Below are 15,444 nucleotides of genomic sequence, written 5' to 3'. Positions count from 1 at the left end.
TACTCACAGCGCACAGGAAAAGATCTGTAGGACCTTAGTGTGCCCATTTCACAGAGAGATTAGGTGTTCTGCTAAAAACCACAAAGTTGATTCCAGCAGGAGAAATTTTTTTAAAAGCCTATGGCTTAGCTTTTAGAGCACCTTAGGCTAATAAAACCCAATAAGAAAAGAAATGCCATAATTAAGTTGGATATGTAATCTGAGAAGTACCACAAGCCAACAAAACAAAAGGACAGCATCCTTTATACAGAAACTCCACCATAAATTTTGGTTATATGAGTTCATGTTGGGGCTGGGGACAGGGAAGAAGGAACACTACTAAGTACCTTCTTAGTGACAGGCCCTTGTGAGGGATTCAGTAAGACATGGTCCCTGAGTACCATCTAGTAATCTCCAACACAGACTCATCTACTCCCTCCCTTGAAATACTCCTTCAGCTTTTTTCCATGGGTTGACTGAAAGGTCCCCTCCTTGAAGAGGTTTTTCCTTCATCACTCTAAAGGTATCCTAGAATAGCTCCCTTTCCTTTTTGCACTTTTCACAATGTCCAATTATCGTTACTATTATTATGTGATTATGATTACTACTACTTTTCTTCCATGCACACTTATTATGTGAGCACTAGAAAGAAAGGCCTGTAAGTGAAGAAATGTCTTCACTGTACCCTCGGTGACTAGCAGCGTATATAACCATTGTGAGCACGCAAATACTTACCGAATAAATGAAAACAAGAACTGTGACTACGATAATCTTCCGATAACCAACGTTTTCCCAGGCTAGTTAGCCCCAGATCCCCAGACTCGGCTCCCTTAGTTATGAGGGATTATACTGGGTACTCACCTCTACCTGAGTAACATTGATGACCAGCACCACCACCATCAACACTGCAAGCAGACAGCAGAAAAGCCGTAGTTTGAAGAAATTGGTCCACATTGTCTGGCTGTGTCTTGTTCACCCATGGCCGACACCATGCTACCTTCACTCTTTAAAATTCCATGTCTTTGCTTTTCTGAGCTGCAGATGAGCTTTCAGTTTCATTTGCTTCTATCCTGCTAGTACCCTTAAGAGCTCTTATGCAGAGGAGAGACTGCAGTTGATTCAAGAAGCACATTTTTCTTCAAAGAAATCCTTCAAAGAGGAGAGATGAGAGAACATCACCAATTGCAATGGCCTAGGGTGGGGTGAGAGGAAAAACATCACATTTCCTCTTCCTTAACCTTATCTAAGGCCCAAAGTCACAAGGAGAAAGCAAAGAGCCAGAGCACAGTAACGTCTTTTCATTTCCAGACAATCTCCTCAAAGTTTCCTTTCCCAGTGTCAGGCTTCCGTGTAAATACAATATTTCCCCTATTGCCTATTTAGGTTTTAACTTTTAAGAAAGTAAGGAAGTATGTCTTCAAACTCAGAAATTGTGAAATAAAAGTAACTGCTAAATTTCTACAGAGACCTCAGTCAATAAAATCACTTCCCTTCCCCTTCCCTTTAAGTTATGTAACACTGCTACATTAATTACACTTAAAGAACATGAAGAGGAAACTGTTTTCATGAAGAGCTCTGGGATACTGTGCAAAGCATCCTGACATTCTCTGGCAAACAAGAAGTGCTACCCCTCTCATACAGAGGTATGGCAGGAGACGCGACACACTCTTTAGGTTTCCAGCTCTCCCCACCACATATGTGGTCCTGATGCTCCCTCAGCTACATGATAAGGCACAGGAAGACACACACCTGCCTGGAAGATGTGGGAGAGGAAAGTCAAGCTTGAAAAATGGGTAACAGGATCCCAAAATCCTTCATCACACCTGCTAGAGGCAGAGGACTTCAGAGTCAGCAGTGCCTAACTGTTCTCCCACGTAACAAATTCAAATGCTCTTTCCACTTGCCATTTTGATACAGGTAAACAGAAAATGTCCTAGTATTCTATCCCCAGGGAGACTTTCCATGAAGGGCAGGACACAGAAATAAAGGCAGAAAGGGTACAAAATCATGGTGCAGAGTATCTCAGAATAACTCAGCTGCATCAACTCTCCCCTCCACTTTGTGTTGGACCTGGCAAGCCCCCATTCTCTCACTCCTCTGCCTCACCTGTCTGAACCAGTCCCAACCACAATGACAATGCCAATCAGCTTCACAAAGGAGACAAGGGTGAGCCATTCCAACAAGCTCTCCATCCTCAGAGTTCCCATAGCACTTATTATTTTCACTTCTCTGCTGATCTCTATTTGTATTTTTTTCTCCCTCATGCTCCCTCTATTTGTATTTCTTATCTCTCAAACTAGACTATACCAATTATGACTGTATTTTTTTAAAAAACCATATATCAGAGAAAAGCAACTTAATGATACTGCATTATACTTTTCTGATTTGCTCAAGGTACTTAGTTCTTTACATGGTACACAATGATTCAACAATCTATGCAACAAATAATTATGGAGGCCTACGCTATACCACACACTGTACTAAGTGCCAGAAATTCCCCTTGAAAAGCTTACACTCATATTAGACAAGATGTCAGCCCCTTCTTAAGGAGAAATAAATCCACCAGTCCTGGCCACCTCCACAGGGATGCCAGGAAATGTGAAAGACTGTGCTTCTCCATTTCCTGACACCTCCTCTCTCCAATATCCAGACACTCATCCACCTCAAACTGTCTATAACTTCTTGGAAGAAACTGGCTGTAAAATAGAGGATAACTCTGTCATCAGGGTCCCAACTGTTCTGCCATTGAAATCCTTCTCAAAAAGTTGTCCATAAAAAAAAAATCAGGTTTCCACAATGGCCAGAGAGGGAAAAGACCAAAGATGGTAGTCCACAGGAATTTAGTTGCACCATAGGCAGGTGTGGTCATGCATTGTGTGGACACTAGCCATTTAAAGGACATCAGTGTGGTTCAGCCAGGCAGCAGCAGCACACAGCTGTCAGTGATGCAGAAAGAAGGCAAGGGCAGGAGACTCTAAAGCAAAAGAACTACAGGACCAGAGGCAGCAATGCAAGAAGTCCCTCCCAGCTAGAGGCTTCTACTGACAATAATTTAGGAGGATTGTGCCAGGAAAAGACCTGACTCTGTGCTGTAAGTAGAGCACTGACATTTGAGAGACCCATTTGTACACCTAAATAGATGTTGCGTGAGGCACACTAGACAGACCTCTCTTTGAAAAGATATATACCAGGCCAGGTGCAGTGGCTCACGCCTGTAATCCCAGCACTTTGGGAGGCCGAGGCAGGCGGATCACAAGGTCAGGAGATCGGGACCATCCTGGCTAACATGGTGAAACCTTGTCTCTACTAAAAATACAACAAATTAGCTGGGCGTGGTGGCGGGTGCCTGTAGTCCCAGCTACTCGGGAGGCTGAGGCAGGAGAACAGCGTGAACCTGGGAGGCGGAGCTTGCAGTGAGCGGAGATCACGCCACTGCACTCCAGCCTGGGTGACAGAGCGAGACTCCGTCTCAAAAAAAAAAGAAAAGATATATATTAAAATTTTAATAGTTGTCACCTCTTGGCAGTTTTTGTTTTCTCCTTTATCTGTATGTCCTAATTTTTCACCAGGAAATAAAAATCACAAATACAAAGAATAAAGCTGGGCCAGGCATGGTGGCTCACGCCAATAATCCCAACACTTTGGGAGGCCAAAACAGGAGGTTTGCTTGAGACCAGGAGTTTGAGACTAGCTGAGGCAAGATAGTGAGACCCCCAACTCCACACACACAAAAAATTTTTTTTTAATTAGCTGGGCATGGTAGTACGCACCTATAGTCCCAGTTACTCAGGAGGCTGAGGTAGGAGAATTGCTTGAGCCTGGGAGGTCGAGGCTGCAGTGAACCATGATCATCACACCAATGTACTCCAGCCTGGGCAACAGAGCAGGACTCTGTCTCAAAAAAAAATGAAATAAAATAAAGAATAAAACCAATTTCTAAAAGTAAAAATTAAAGATGAGACATAGCAGAAACAAAGCATTAAATCACATCTGTGAAATCAATTCAACTTAAACTGAAAGATTTTTAAGTAAAAGAAGAAAACTATTTCACGGCATGAGGTAATTGTAGTGTAAAAAAAAAACTGTAACAGGTTTTTGGTATTTTCCTATAAACATAAAACCTACGCATTATAACAGGAATGCTATTTGCAAGGAGCCTTAAAATCAAGTAAGAACAACAGTGTTGGCAGGGAATGATTATAGAAAAAAGTTCCTCAGATTAACCAAAAAAATAAAAATATATAATTCAATGTAATTTACCTTTTTTGGAAATTTTCCAAGAAGAGATGCTTACTGGAACTAGAAATTAGAAGTTACGTCTAACTTTCCTTCCAGCATGAAATTCTGAACTCAGGCAATTTTGACCAGAGGTCCTCATTTTTTTCATGCCACATGTGAAGCACACATAAATGTTTTTTACATTTCTATACAATTCTTCTTGCTGAAACAAAAATATGCATATGATATAAAGGTTAAAGATACTGAAAATGAAGTAAAGAAAAACATTAGAAATTAAGAGTACAATTTTACAGGCAAGAGAGTTATACATGATATAGTGGGAGGAGTGGGCATAGGAACGTTTCCTTTTCCTTACTAATAAAAAACAGTAATTTAAATAGTCTATTTAAATACATGAACTTCAACATGGTAAATCACTCTCAGACCTTGGCTGAAGGTCAAAACTTTATAAACAGCGATATAAGTGAAAAAATATAAACCAAAGATAAAAGCTCCAAATGTTATTTTTCTTAAAAACTATTATAATTATTTAGTTCAATGATCCAATGATCTTGTTTTCCCCTACAGAAAAAAGGGGTATCTGTACAGATCTAAAAGTTATTATTCAAGGAATCTAAACTTGAGTGATCCTGTTTTCAAATGTCAGACCACCACTTACTCATGCTTTATTTTTATAATATGTGCAAAGAACAAGCAAAAAGTTAAATGCATGCTCTGCCTTACATGTGGAACCCAGTATTTGTTGGAAGTGTTCTGCCAAATTTTTATTAAGCCTACTTCCATATCCAAGACTCATAGTGGCCAATCTAACTTCTTTATGGCCTGTGACAACAACCCCAGACTGCCATTAGGGTTCCTACCCCCATCTCACAAGAGAATTACAAAGCAGTCACTTACATCATTTGGAATTACAATTGTCAGTAACACAAATGAAATTCCTGAGTTCAATATTAAACAAAGAAAATCAGACAGCAACCCTATCCTCTGGGGAGCTAATGTTCTCAGGCAACCATTCCACAAAGATAATATATTATAGGACAACTGCATAGAAACTGTCCAGTTTCTGAGGCAGTCCCTATCCTAACTACTCTGACCTGTTGGCCAAATAAATGTAACTGTACTAGTCACAGCAAGTGTCTGGAACTTTAGTTCAGAATATATAGTTCAGAACAATAGTAAGAGACAAAAGCACAGATTTACATGGAAAATATCTACACTTAAATGCATATATTTCAAACTTTGCAAAGAGTAGCTGTATTTCATAGGATGCTGAGTAAGACCTTGAAACAGGGCAGGATCTACAGAATGAAGAACTGGAGACCCATCCAGGACCCTAACAATGATGGGTTAACCAAATAGGGTCAATCCTTGAAAAAAGATGAAGCAGGGGCAGTAGTCTGCAGGACTTGTTTCCACAGATTCCATTTCTCCTTCGTGTCCCGCAGCCTCACATGCACAAAGTGCTGACTCATCTGGACCTTCCCTTGCCCTTCTTCCAAAGCAGGGCCCCATGTATTCATGGAGGTTACATAGCAAGTGGAGAAGTAATAAAATCAGTTATATAAGTCACACTGTACTAAGTGCTATTTTTTAAATATTGAACACATTGATAGGTTGTGGTCCTCAACCCTGCATGAACATTAATAATCATCGTGGAAGCTTTTTAAAATACAAACAACTGGGCCCCACTCAAACAATTAAATCAGAATCTGTAGGAATAGGCCCAAGAAGTAGCTTTTTTTAAAAAGGTCCCTAGATGATTACAACATACAGCCAAGTGGGAGAACCACTAGTATAGAGTGGCCAGGGACTGTTATTCGTTTCAGTTGGTAAAAGGATGGCCTTTCCAAAATGATGTTTGAATTGTAACTTAAATTGTCAGGTCAGGACAACCCAATTCCCAGGCAATGGGGAAGGCTAACCCCACTTCAGTGATTTATCCCTTCGTTTCCTTTCTCAGTAACAAATAACAGCACTCTATTGGCCCCAAAGAGATTGTGAGGATAACAGACATGGAAAAAAAAATACTAAACAAATTCAAAGAAAAGCAGAACCCAAACACTACGGAGAAATAGTATACTGCTGCCTCCAAACAATTATCAGGGTCTGGGAGTCCTGCCAGTTTCAAATATATCCTGATGTTCCAAATGATAATTAACCACAGTGAGGAGCGGGGAGGCCCACCAAAGCAGTGTGATTCTTTATCTTTAGGAAATGTGGCAACAATCCCCCTTTAATGTAAATAATGAAAAGCAAAGAAAATTTACAATTTTGCACAAATGCTGCATAAATCCTGCCTCGGAACCCCTCTTATTACCACCCTAGTGGCCTTTGATCAGGCAGAAATGGGCAACAGGCCAGGGTCTCCATATCACACCTTGTAAAGTTACACTCGTTTCTCCCCATACGACCTGAATCTGATGTCCCCAAACGGCAGCTCAGTAAGGCCAGAACAGTCCACCGTGTGACAGCAGCGCCAGCCAAGAGGCAGCTGGTGCCCAGAGCAGCGATGAGCCGAGAGATATGAGATGGGCAGGGAGGCGTCGCCAAGTGCTCCGCACCGGGTTAGTGAAGGTGCCTGGAGGACAGAAGTCTTTCGCTGCGGCGTGGAGGTCCGAACTGTACCGAGCTGTGGCGTTGCCGCAAGTGGAGGAAACTGAGGATGGAGATGCTCGCTCCCGGCCCCGCCCCGCCCCGCCCCGCCGGTACTAGCCTGGGCTCCGGCTTCTTAGCTGCGACGCTTTGGCAACCCAGGGCTCCAATTCTGCCTATGCCTTCGACCCGGGCCTCCCCTCCCTGGCACCTATGCCCACAGCCACGACTCCAGGGGCTGCACCTATCAGCACGGGGCTGGGGACTCGGGAGCAGATGCGCGCGGAGGGAGGGGCTTCGCAGTCTAGGAGCGCGCTGGCAGAGCCGGGCAATGGGTCGCTCCGCCCGCAGCGGCCCCTCCCGACGTCCGCACACAGACCACATCCAGCACTCACCTCCGGGACCCGCCCGCCCTTCGCTCTCCGGGGGCCAGGGATCCTGACGCCCCGGTCGGTCGCCGCAGCGCCAGGCCGCTAGCCCCCCGCTTCCTCACCCGGCGACGTCTCCTCACCTCCGACCCCCGGCTACGATTGGTGGAGCTTCGGCGGGGGCGGGCCGAGGGCGTTGACTGACAGCAGCACGCGCCGGGCGGAACCCACAGGCCTGGAAGCGAAGTTGGCACCCTGGCGCTCTACGCCGCCAAGCTCCTGCTCGCGACGCGACACTGCAGCTGTCGCCCCGCGGATCGAGGTCTGGCCCCTCTCACGACCCAACTCCTCGTGAACTTCGGACGTCTGAGTTTCCTGGGAGCATCCACCTACCTCAAGGCTTTTCGCTTGTCAGCGAAAGTGCCCACAACCGCAGTTGACTCTAGTAGGGCAGTCTTTCCTGTGGAGTGATGGAATTTATTGTGCCCTGAACCAGAGAAATGCGATTTGCCAAGTATAAGCACGGATATAGCGGATCCTTGAATCTTTTCCTTGCTTTGACATTAGTCAACAACTTCTACTCGCCAGTAAAACAGCCCGTTCCTTTTACTCTCACTGTACATGATGTCGGTCTCTTGGCAAAGCATACTTTCCTCACCCTCCACCATCCCCAATTCTGGGTTATCCTATTTTGGACATTTTTCTAACTGGTAAAACGTCGGTAGCAGTTTTGTGAAATTCAGGAACTGAGAGGAGTCCTGAGAAGACACTTGTTCAAGAAACCAGAAGGAATTGTGGGCTGCACCGTGTTTCTCTGTGCTTGGAGCACAGTGGGGTTAACACAGGCCCCAAAAGCAGGCCTGCCCCCGGACTATTACCCCAAGGTTTAAGAAAAATAATTAATGTACATGACAACTAAGTATTTTTCCATTTCTTGACCATAATGGACTCTGCATGCTCATTCAGATGTTTTCATGGCAGGCCTGCTTCGTGGGCAACCAGATCCGTGAATGGGATAAAAGGAAGTTCTGCCACAGGGTGGAAGATCTCTTCTGTAGTAATGATCTTCTTTTTTTTTTTTTTAATATACTTTAAGTTCTAGGGTACATGTGCACAACGTGCAGGTTTGTTACATATGTATACATGTGCCATGTTGGTATGCTGCACCCATTAACTCGTCATTTACATTAAGTATATCTCCTAATGCTATCCCTCCCCCCTCCCCCTACCCCACAACATGCCCAGGTGTGTGATGTTCCCCTTCCTGTGTCCAAGTGTTCATTTATGCAGCCAACAAACACATGAAAAAATGCTCATCAGCACTGGCCATCAGAGAAATGCAAATCAAAACCACAATGAGATACCATCTCACACCAGTTAGAATGGCGATCATTAAAAAGTCAGGAAACAACAGGTGGTGGAGAGGATGTGGAGAAGTAGGAACACGTTTACACTGTTGGTGGGACTGTAAACTAGTTCAACCATTGTAGTAATGATCTGATACTCCTTCTTCCTCGAGGAAATACAGCACTCTGGGACCTTTTGAGGACATAAAAGGGTAGCTTCCTTCTGCTATCGAAGAAGAGCCTCATATACTAGACTTCTGCTCTGATTATGCTTTATCTCCCAGTAGGATCCCCCGCCTCATGTACAGCTTGGCTGTCTTACAAGTGGTAAAATACTTAGGACAAGATGACTTCTAGGTCATGGTTTTGGACCTCATTGACCCCATTCTCCCCCAAGCACTCATAACCCTGAGGCATTTGAGTGATCTTACCTATATTTACCTATATTTTACAGTCATAACCACAAATAAGAGCAGCCACTGCACTCCAGCCTGGGTGACAGAGTGAGGCCCTGTCTCAAAAAATAAAAAAATGTTTATATGATGATATGAAACCAAAGGAACTGGTCATTTCTGCCCCATCTGAAAATGTAGTTTACACACTAGTGTTTATTAATGCTAAACTTGATTCTCTAAGCAAAACAAAGCATAGATCTTAAGAGTAGACAAATAAAAGCAAATAAACCTGTCCCTGATGGCAGAAGCTTGAGGCACAAGCACATTAAGTATTTTTATATTTCTTGACCACAGTGGACTCTGTGTTCATTCAGATGTTTTCACGGAGGCCTACATGCATACTCCTGAGCCCAAGTCAGTTCCTCATTCAGTTCCTTTGCTTCCTCCCTTTGAACAAGTCACTGAAATTTGGGCCCCAAGGCCATCTACCTACTGAAAATTAAGTGACCACTGTCACATTAGGTACCAACCACTCTGTTCCAAAACACCATGAACAATTGGAGGAGGCTGCCAAGGGTAAGAGACTGAAAGTGAGTGAAGTAGTTGATGTCACTACTGCGTTGGTCCATGCTCTCAAATTAATGGACATATTTTCCTTTTAAAAGTCATAATTGGCCAGGCGCGGTGCTCATGCCTGTAATCCCAACACTTTGGGAGGCTGAGGCAGGTGGATCTCCTGAGGTCAGGAGTTTGAGACCAGCCTGGCCAACATGGTGAAACCCCGTCTCTACTAAAAATACAAAAACATTAGCCGGGCATAGTGGCAGGCGCCTGTAATCCCAGCTACTCGGGAGGCTGAGGCAGAAGAATCGCTTGAACTCGGGTGGCGGAGGTTGCAGTGAGCCGAGATCACGCCATTGCACTCCAGCCTGAGCAACAAGAGCGAAACTGTCTCAAAAAAAAAAAAAAGTTATAATTAATGATGGCTAATCTCACATGCATAGTTTAGGGAAAAATGAGATCAATTTTTTTTTCCTCCACTCTTGATTTCTGCAGTTCAGTAGTCCTCAAATCAAATTCCACTGATAATCAAAATAACATCAGTAGCATTTTTTTTTTTTTTTGAGATGGAGTCTCACTCTGTCGCTCAGTCTGGAGTGAGGTGGCAGAATCTCGGCTCACTGCAACCTCCACCTCCCGGGTTCAAGCGATTCTTCTGCCTCAGCCTTGAGAGTAGCTAGAATTACAGGCGTGTACCACCACACCCAGGTAATTTTTTTAATTTTTAGTAGAGACAGGGTTTTTTACCATGTTGGCCACGTTGGTCTCAAACTCCTGGCCTTTCAAGTGATCCACTTGCCTCAGCCTCCCAAAGTGCTGGGATTACAGGTGTGAGCACTTTGGGAGGCCGAGGCAGGTGGATCATGAGGTCAGGAGTTTGAGAGCAGCCTGGCCAATACGGCAAAACCCCATATCTACTAAAAATACAAAAATTAGCGAGGCGTAGTAGCACACGCCTGTAGTCCCAGCTACTCAGGAGGCTGAGGCAGGAGAATCGCTTGAACCTGGGAGGTGGAGGTTGCAGTGAGCCGAGATTGCGCCACTGCACTCCAGCCTAGGAGAAAGAGTGAGACTACATCTCAAAAAAAAAAAAAGAATATTGATCAGGCATTTTGTAGACTACCCCTCAACTTGAATTTGCCTGGTGTTTGTTTACTCATGGTTAGACTCGGGGAAAGAACACCAGAATGAAATGTCTTCACTGCATCAGATTAAGGAAAATGTGACATGATTTATCACTGGTGATGTTAACCATGATCATTTGATTGAGGTGTTATATGCTACGTTTCTCCGCAATAGAGTTGCTAATTTTCTTTTTCCATACTCCATCCATTAGTAGCAAGTCACTAAATCCAGCTCACACTCAGGAGAGGGAAATTAAGCTTTATCTTATGAAGGAAGGAGTATCAATGAACTTTTGGGTACATGTTTAAACCACCATAATAATCAATATATATTTAAGGGAAGATACTTTGAAGCTACACAAATATTCTATCTCTTCTTATAGTTTTGCCCACTAATTTAGGTATTCATCGTGGATTTCTGTTGTAGCAATTATTATAGTGGTTTTCGAATGGTGATTTTCCTATTTCCTTCATTCTTTCTGCATTTATTATTTGGAAGTCTTCTCTAAGAGTTGTCCTTCTGTACCCTGAGAGGATTAAAAACTTAGAAAAAAAAATGAAAGAGTTGCCCCTTCTTCTCCAGCTATTTATTCAATAATTTACATCAGGGTGCACTCATGGATATTTATTTTATTCCTTGATTTATAATCTGTTGTTATTTTGCTGCTCAAATTATTTCAGCTTTTGCCATTGGGACCTCTTTCAGGTTGCTTCATGTATCTCTTTTACATGCTTGATCATTTGTTTGCTTATCACTTCCTTACTTTCTGGCACTTAAGATGTTCTGGGATCACTTTTTTTTTCTTTGCTCCGCCCCTGGAATCAACCATTTCTCCAAAGAGCCTTGTTCCCTTTTATTGAAGAATTGTAGAGACCAAGACATGAGTGCTATGTATGCTTGTTGCTACTGAAGGATCATTCTTTCTAGGCCTGTACAGAGCTAAAAATGTACATGGGTATACTAACCCATGTATAAACATATGCACTGTATCTTTATATATACATTTACATTTATATAGACATACATGTCTATATTTACTTCCATAACTACCTGTGTAGACATGAGTTCATATTGATATCTCCAACTCCAATCCAGCACCACAGGGTTCATTCCTGCATTTCTCCTTTGCATATTTGTAATTTCTTTTTCTAACAGTGAGATAGCTGGCCATGATTATCTATATTTACTTATTTGTTTAAGCCTAGTATAGATGCAGTTACAGAATAGACAACCTGTACCCCTGTAAGAAACATTTACCAACCAGAGTACAGTGTTCCTATACAGTTCTTTTTGTCTCTAGCTCAGTGAGGTTATGTCATAAATTTGTAATACAGTTGGTGTCATTTGTCATAGTCCACATTCCATTCTGAGATCCCCTTGACATCCTCAATAGAGATTTATTTTTTGGCAAAACTTGAAAAAAGTTCAGACTTTGTGATGTATTGTTCTATGGATTTTGACAAGTTTGTAGACAAACGTATCCACCATCACAGTACCATACAAAATAGTTTCACCCTAAAAATTCCCACATGCAAGCCCTTTTTAGTCAATCTGTTCCTCAATCTCTAACAACCACTTATCTATTTTCTCTCCCTATAGTGTTGCTTTTTCCAGAATTTCATATAAATAGGATCATACAATATGTACTCCCCAGATTATGATTACCAGAAAGTTTGGGAACCAATACTCTTGCTAATTCAGATCTGATGAAGCACCAACATCCACTTCATCACCAAACTGGGAATCAGCTTCAATTGTTTGAGGGGGCAAAAAGTTTTCTTTTCCTTCAAAGATAGATGAAACAATACAAGAAAAGCTTTGCTATCCTACTCCCTCTCCAGAATATGGACTTCTGCTCCCACCAATTTGAGTCGTATTTGTTTCCAAACCAGTTTATTCCAGTTATAACGTGATTATAATAATATAATCTAAGCACTTTTTTTTTTTTTTTTTGAGACGGAGTCTCCCTCTGTCACCCAGGCTGGAGTGCAGTGGTGGGATCTTGGCTCACTGCAAGCTCCGCCTCCCGGGTTCACGCCATTCTCCTTCCTCAGCCTCCCGAGTAGCTGGGACTACAGGCGCCTTCAACCACGCCCGGCTAATTTTTTGTATTTTTAGTAGAGACGGGGTTTCACCATGTTAGCCAGGATGGTCTCGATCTCCTGACCTTGTGATCCGCCCACCTCGGCCTCCCAAAGTGCTGGGATTACAGGCGTGAGCCACCGCGCCTGGCAATCTAAGCACTTATTATGTGAACCTTTGAAATCTAGTGTAAAAACAAAAAATATTCAAGGAAAACAAAGTTGAGTGTTTCGGAAAGACTCAAAAGTGAATTGCTTAAAAAGGTAAAAAAACTGCAGTTGAGTTAGGTATGGGCAAGAAATGTGTCAAAAATCAGATGGAGAAATTATAAACACCTAGAAGTATTCTGCATTCTGATGGCTTTATACATGTTTTTAAATTCTTACTCTATTTTAAAGAAACTAAAAATGGAAATGGTGCATTATAGGTAAAATTTAGACACAGAACTACAGAGCATCTATACTCAAAGAAAAGAACATTAGAAAAAAACAAAGGACTCAAACATTACCTGATTTCAAGACTTAGTATAAAGCTATAGTAATGAAGGTGGTGTAGTATTGAAATATAAACAAATCAATCACTGGAACAGAAGACAATCCAGAAATGGATTCATACGTATATGGCCAGTTGATTTTTGCAAAGGTGACAAGACAGTTAAATGGGGAGAGGACAATCTTTTTCAACAAATGGTGCTGGATACCTGGATAATCATATGTAAAAAATAAAGAAACCATAAACTTTATCTCGTACCATATAAAAATTTAACATGAAATGGATCATAGGTTTCAGTGTAAGAGCCAGAACTACAAAACCTCTAGAAAAAAAACTTAGAATATCTTTGTGGCCTTGGGTATGGCAAGATTTCTTAAACACAACACCAAAAGCACAAACTATTTAAAAATCAACATATTAGACTTCATCAAAATCTTAACCCTTTTCTCTTCAAAAACCATGATCATGAACATGAAAAGGCAACCCACAGACTGAGACAAAATATTTTATATTTGTTCAAGGACTTGTGCCTAGACTATATAAATCTTTTTTTTTTTTTTTTTTTCTCTGAGACCAAGTCTTGCTCTGTCCTCTGTCACCCAGGTTGGAGTGCAATGGCGTGATCTCGGTTCACTGCAACTTCCACCTCCTGGGTTCAAGCGATTCTCCTGCCTCAACCTCCCAAGTAGCTGGGACTACAGGCACATGCCACCACACCCGGCTAATTTTTTGTATTTTTAGTAGAGATGGGGTTTCACAGTGTTAGCCAGGATGGTCTCGATCTCCTGACCTCGTGATATGCCCACCTTGGCCTCCCAAAGTGCTGGGATTATAGGCGTGAGCCACCGTGCCTGGCCTAAATAATTCTTACAACTCAAAATAAGGAGACAGACAACCCAATTTAATTGTTTTTTTTTTTTTTTCACACGGAGTCTCACTCTGTTGCCCAGGCTGGAGTACAGTGGTGTGATCTCGGCTCATTGCAACTTCCACCTCGCGGGTTCAGATGATTCTCCTGTCTCTGCCTCTAGAATAGCTGGGATTACAGGTGCGCACCACCACACCCAGCTAATTTTTGTATTTTTAGTAGAGATGGGGTTTCATGATGTTGGCCAGGCTAGTCTCGAACTCCTGACCTCAAGTGATCTGCCTGCCTCAGCCTCCCAAAGTGCTGGGATTACAGGTGTGACCCACTGTGCCTGGCCCCCATTTTTTTTAAATGGATAAATTTTTTGAATACTTCAAATTTAGGGACACTTAACCAAAGATAGACACACAGCAAATAAATTAAAAGATGCTGAACATCATTAATCATTAGGGAAATGTAAATTAAACACACCGAAATACTACTATGTATCCACTAGAATGGACAAAATTAAAAAGACTGACCATACCAAATGTTAGTGAGGATGTAGAAAAACCGGAACCATCATATACTGCTAGTGGGAATGCAAAATGCTACCACCACTTTGGAAAACAAAACTGGTTTGTTAGTTTCTTAAAAAGTTAAGACATATACCTACTGTAAGATCCAATCATTCCACTCTTAGGTAGTTACCCAAAATAAATGAAAACACATGTTCATACAAAGACTTAATCACAAATGCTTACACCAGCTTCAGTTCGAATAGCCAAAATGTATCAATAACCCAAATGTCCATCAGCAGATTAATGGATAAACAAATTTTGGCAAATACATACAATGAAATACTACTCAGAAAGCAATCAGACGAATCTCAAATAATCATGCTAAGTAAAAGAAACCAGGTAAAATAGGATGTGTCATGAAGGGAATGAGGAATCTCTTGGAATAGATAAGTTTGCCATCTTGATTGTTGTGATGTATTATGGGCACAATGTGTCAAAATTTATCAAATTGTCCGCTTTATTTTTTTGTACTTTTTTTGAGATGGAGTTTCGTTCTGTCACCCAGGCTGGAGTACAATGGTGCAATCTTGGTTCACTGCAACCTCCGCCTCCTGGGTTCAAGCGATTCTCCTACCTCAGCCTCCCAAGTAGCTGGGATTACAGGCACCCACCACCAATGCCCGGCTAATCTTTTTGTATTTTTAGTAAAGATGGGGTCTCGCCATGTTGGCCAGGCTGGTCTCAAACTCTTGACCTCAAGTAATCCACCCACTTCGGCTTCCCAAAGTGCTGGGATTACAGGCATGAGCCATCAAGCCCAGCCAAATTGTCCACTTTAAATATGCAACTTTAAATATGCCTTAAAAGTTTTAAAAAAGGAAATAAAAATTAAAAATA

At 42.2% G+C, this 15,444-nt stretch overlaps 1 protein-coding gene across 12 annotated transcripts in view, besides 4 other annotated features; it reads right to left on the bottom strand.

The window, feature by feature from the left end:
• Positions 1 to 7,319, bottom strand: part of NXPE3 (neurexophilin and PC-esterase domain family member 3) — a 49,021-nt gene extending 41,702 nt beyond the window's left edge. For 3 of the 12 annotated variants that reach the window (NR_145993.2, NM_145037.4, NM_001348997.2), the window contains exons 1-4: positions 7,206 to 7,319; positions 4,240 to 4,420; positions 3,750 to 3,870; positions 841 to 1,128 (exon numbers count right to left, since the gene is read on the bottom strand). Coding sequence is in view for 11 of the 12 variants with exons in the window: in NM_145037.4 (NP_659474.1) it covers positions 841 to 933 (93 nt within the window). In the remaining variant the exon portion in view is untranslated. Of the gene's footprint in view, positions 1 to 840; positions 1,129 to 3,749; positions 3,875 to 4,239; positions 4,421 to 6,595; positions 6,867 to 7,205 lie in introns of those variants that run through there. The other 9 variants (NM_001348991.2, NM_001348996.2, NM_001134456.2 and 6 more) reach the window with 7 other exon arrangements.
• Positions 6,597 to 6,646: an enhancer, noted in NCBI's record as "active region_20180". NCBI's record gives its function as "activates an Ori minimal core promoter by ATAC-STARR-seq in GM12878 lymphoblastoid cells {active_cell/tissue: GM12878}" and the evidence as "EXISTENCE:reporter gene assay evidence [ECO:0000049][PMID:35858748]".
• Positions 7,057 to 7,406: a silencer, noted in NCBI's record as "silent region_14577". NCBI's record gives its function as "represses an Ori minimal core promoter by ATAC-STARR-seq in GM12878 lymphoblastoid cells {active_cell/tissue: GM12878}" and the evidence as "EXISTENCE:reporter gene assay evidence [ECO:0000049][PMID:35858748]".
• Positions 7,057 to 7,505: a biological region, named in NCBI's record as "Sharpr-MPRA regulatory region 11".
• Positions 7,211 to 7,505: an enhancer, noted in NCBI's record as "tiled region #11; HepG2 Activating DNase unmatched - State 4:PromP, and K562 Activating DNase unmatched - State 4:PromP". NCBI's record gives its function as "activates a minimal TATA promoter and a strong SV40 promoter by Sharpr-MPRA in HepG2 and K562 cells {active_cell/tissue: HepG2 | K562}" and the evidence as "EXISTENCE:reporter gene assay evidence [ECO:0000049][PMID:27701403]".

The sequence above is a fragment of the Homo sapiens genome, chromosome 3 (assembly GCF_000001405.40).
Source record: "Homo sapiens chromosome 3, GRCh38.p14 Primary Assembly".
NCBI lineage: Eukaryota > Metazoa > Chordata > Mammalia > Primates > Hominidae > Homo > Homo sapiens.
Note: the sequence above shows the minus strand (reverse complement) of the source record. Positions and strands in the feature narration are given on the sequence as shown.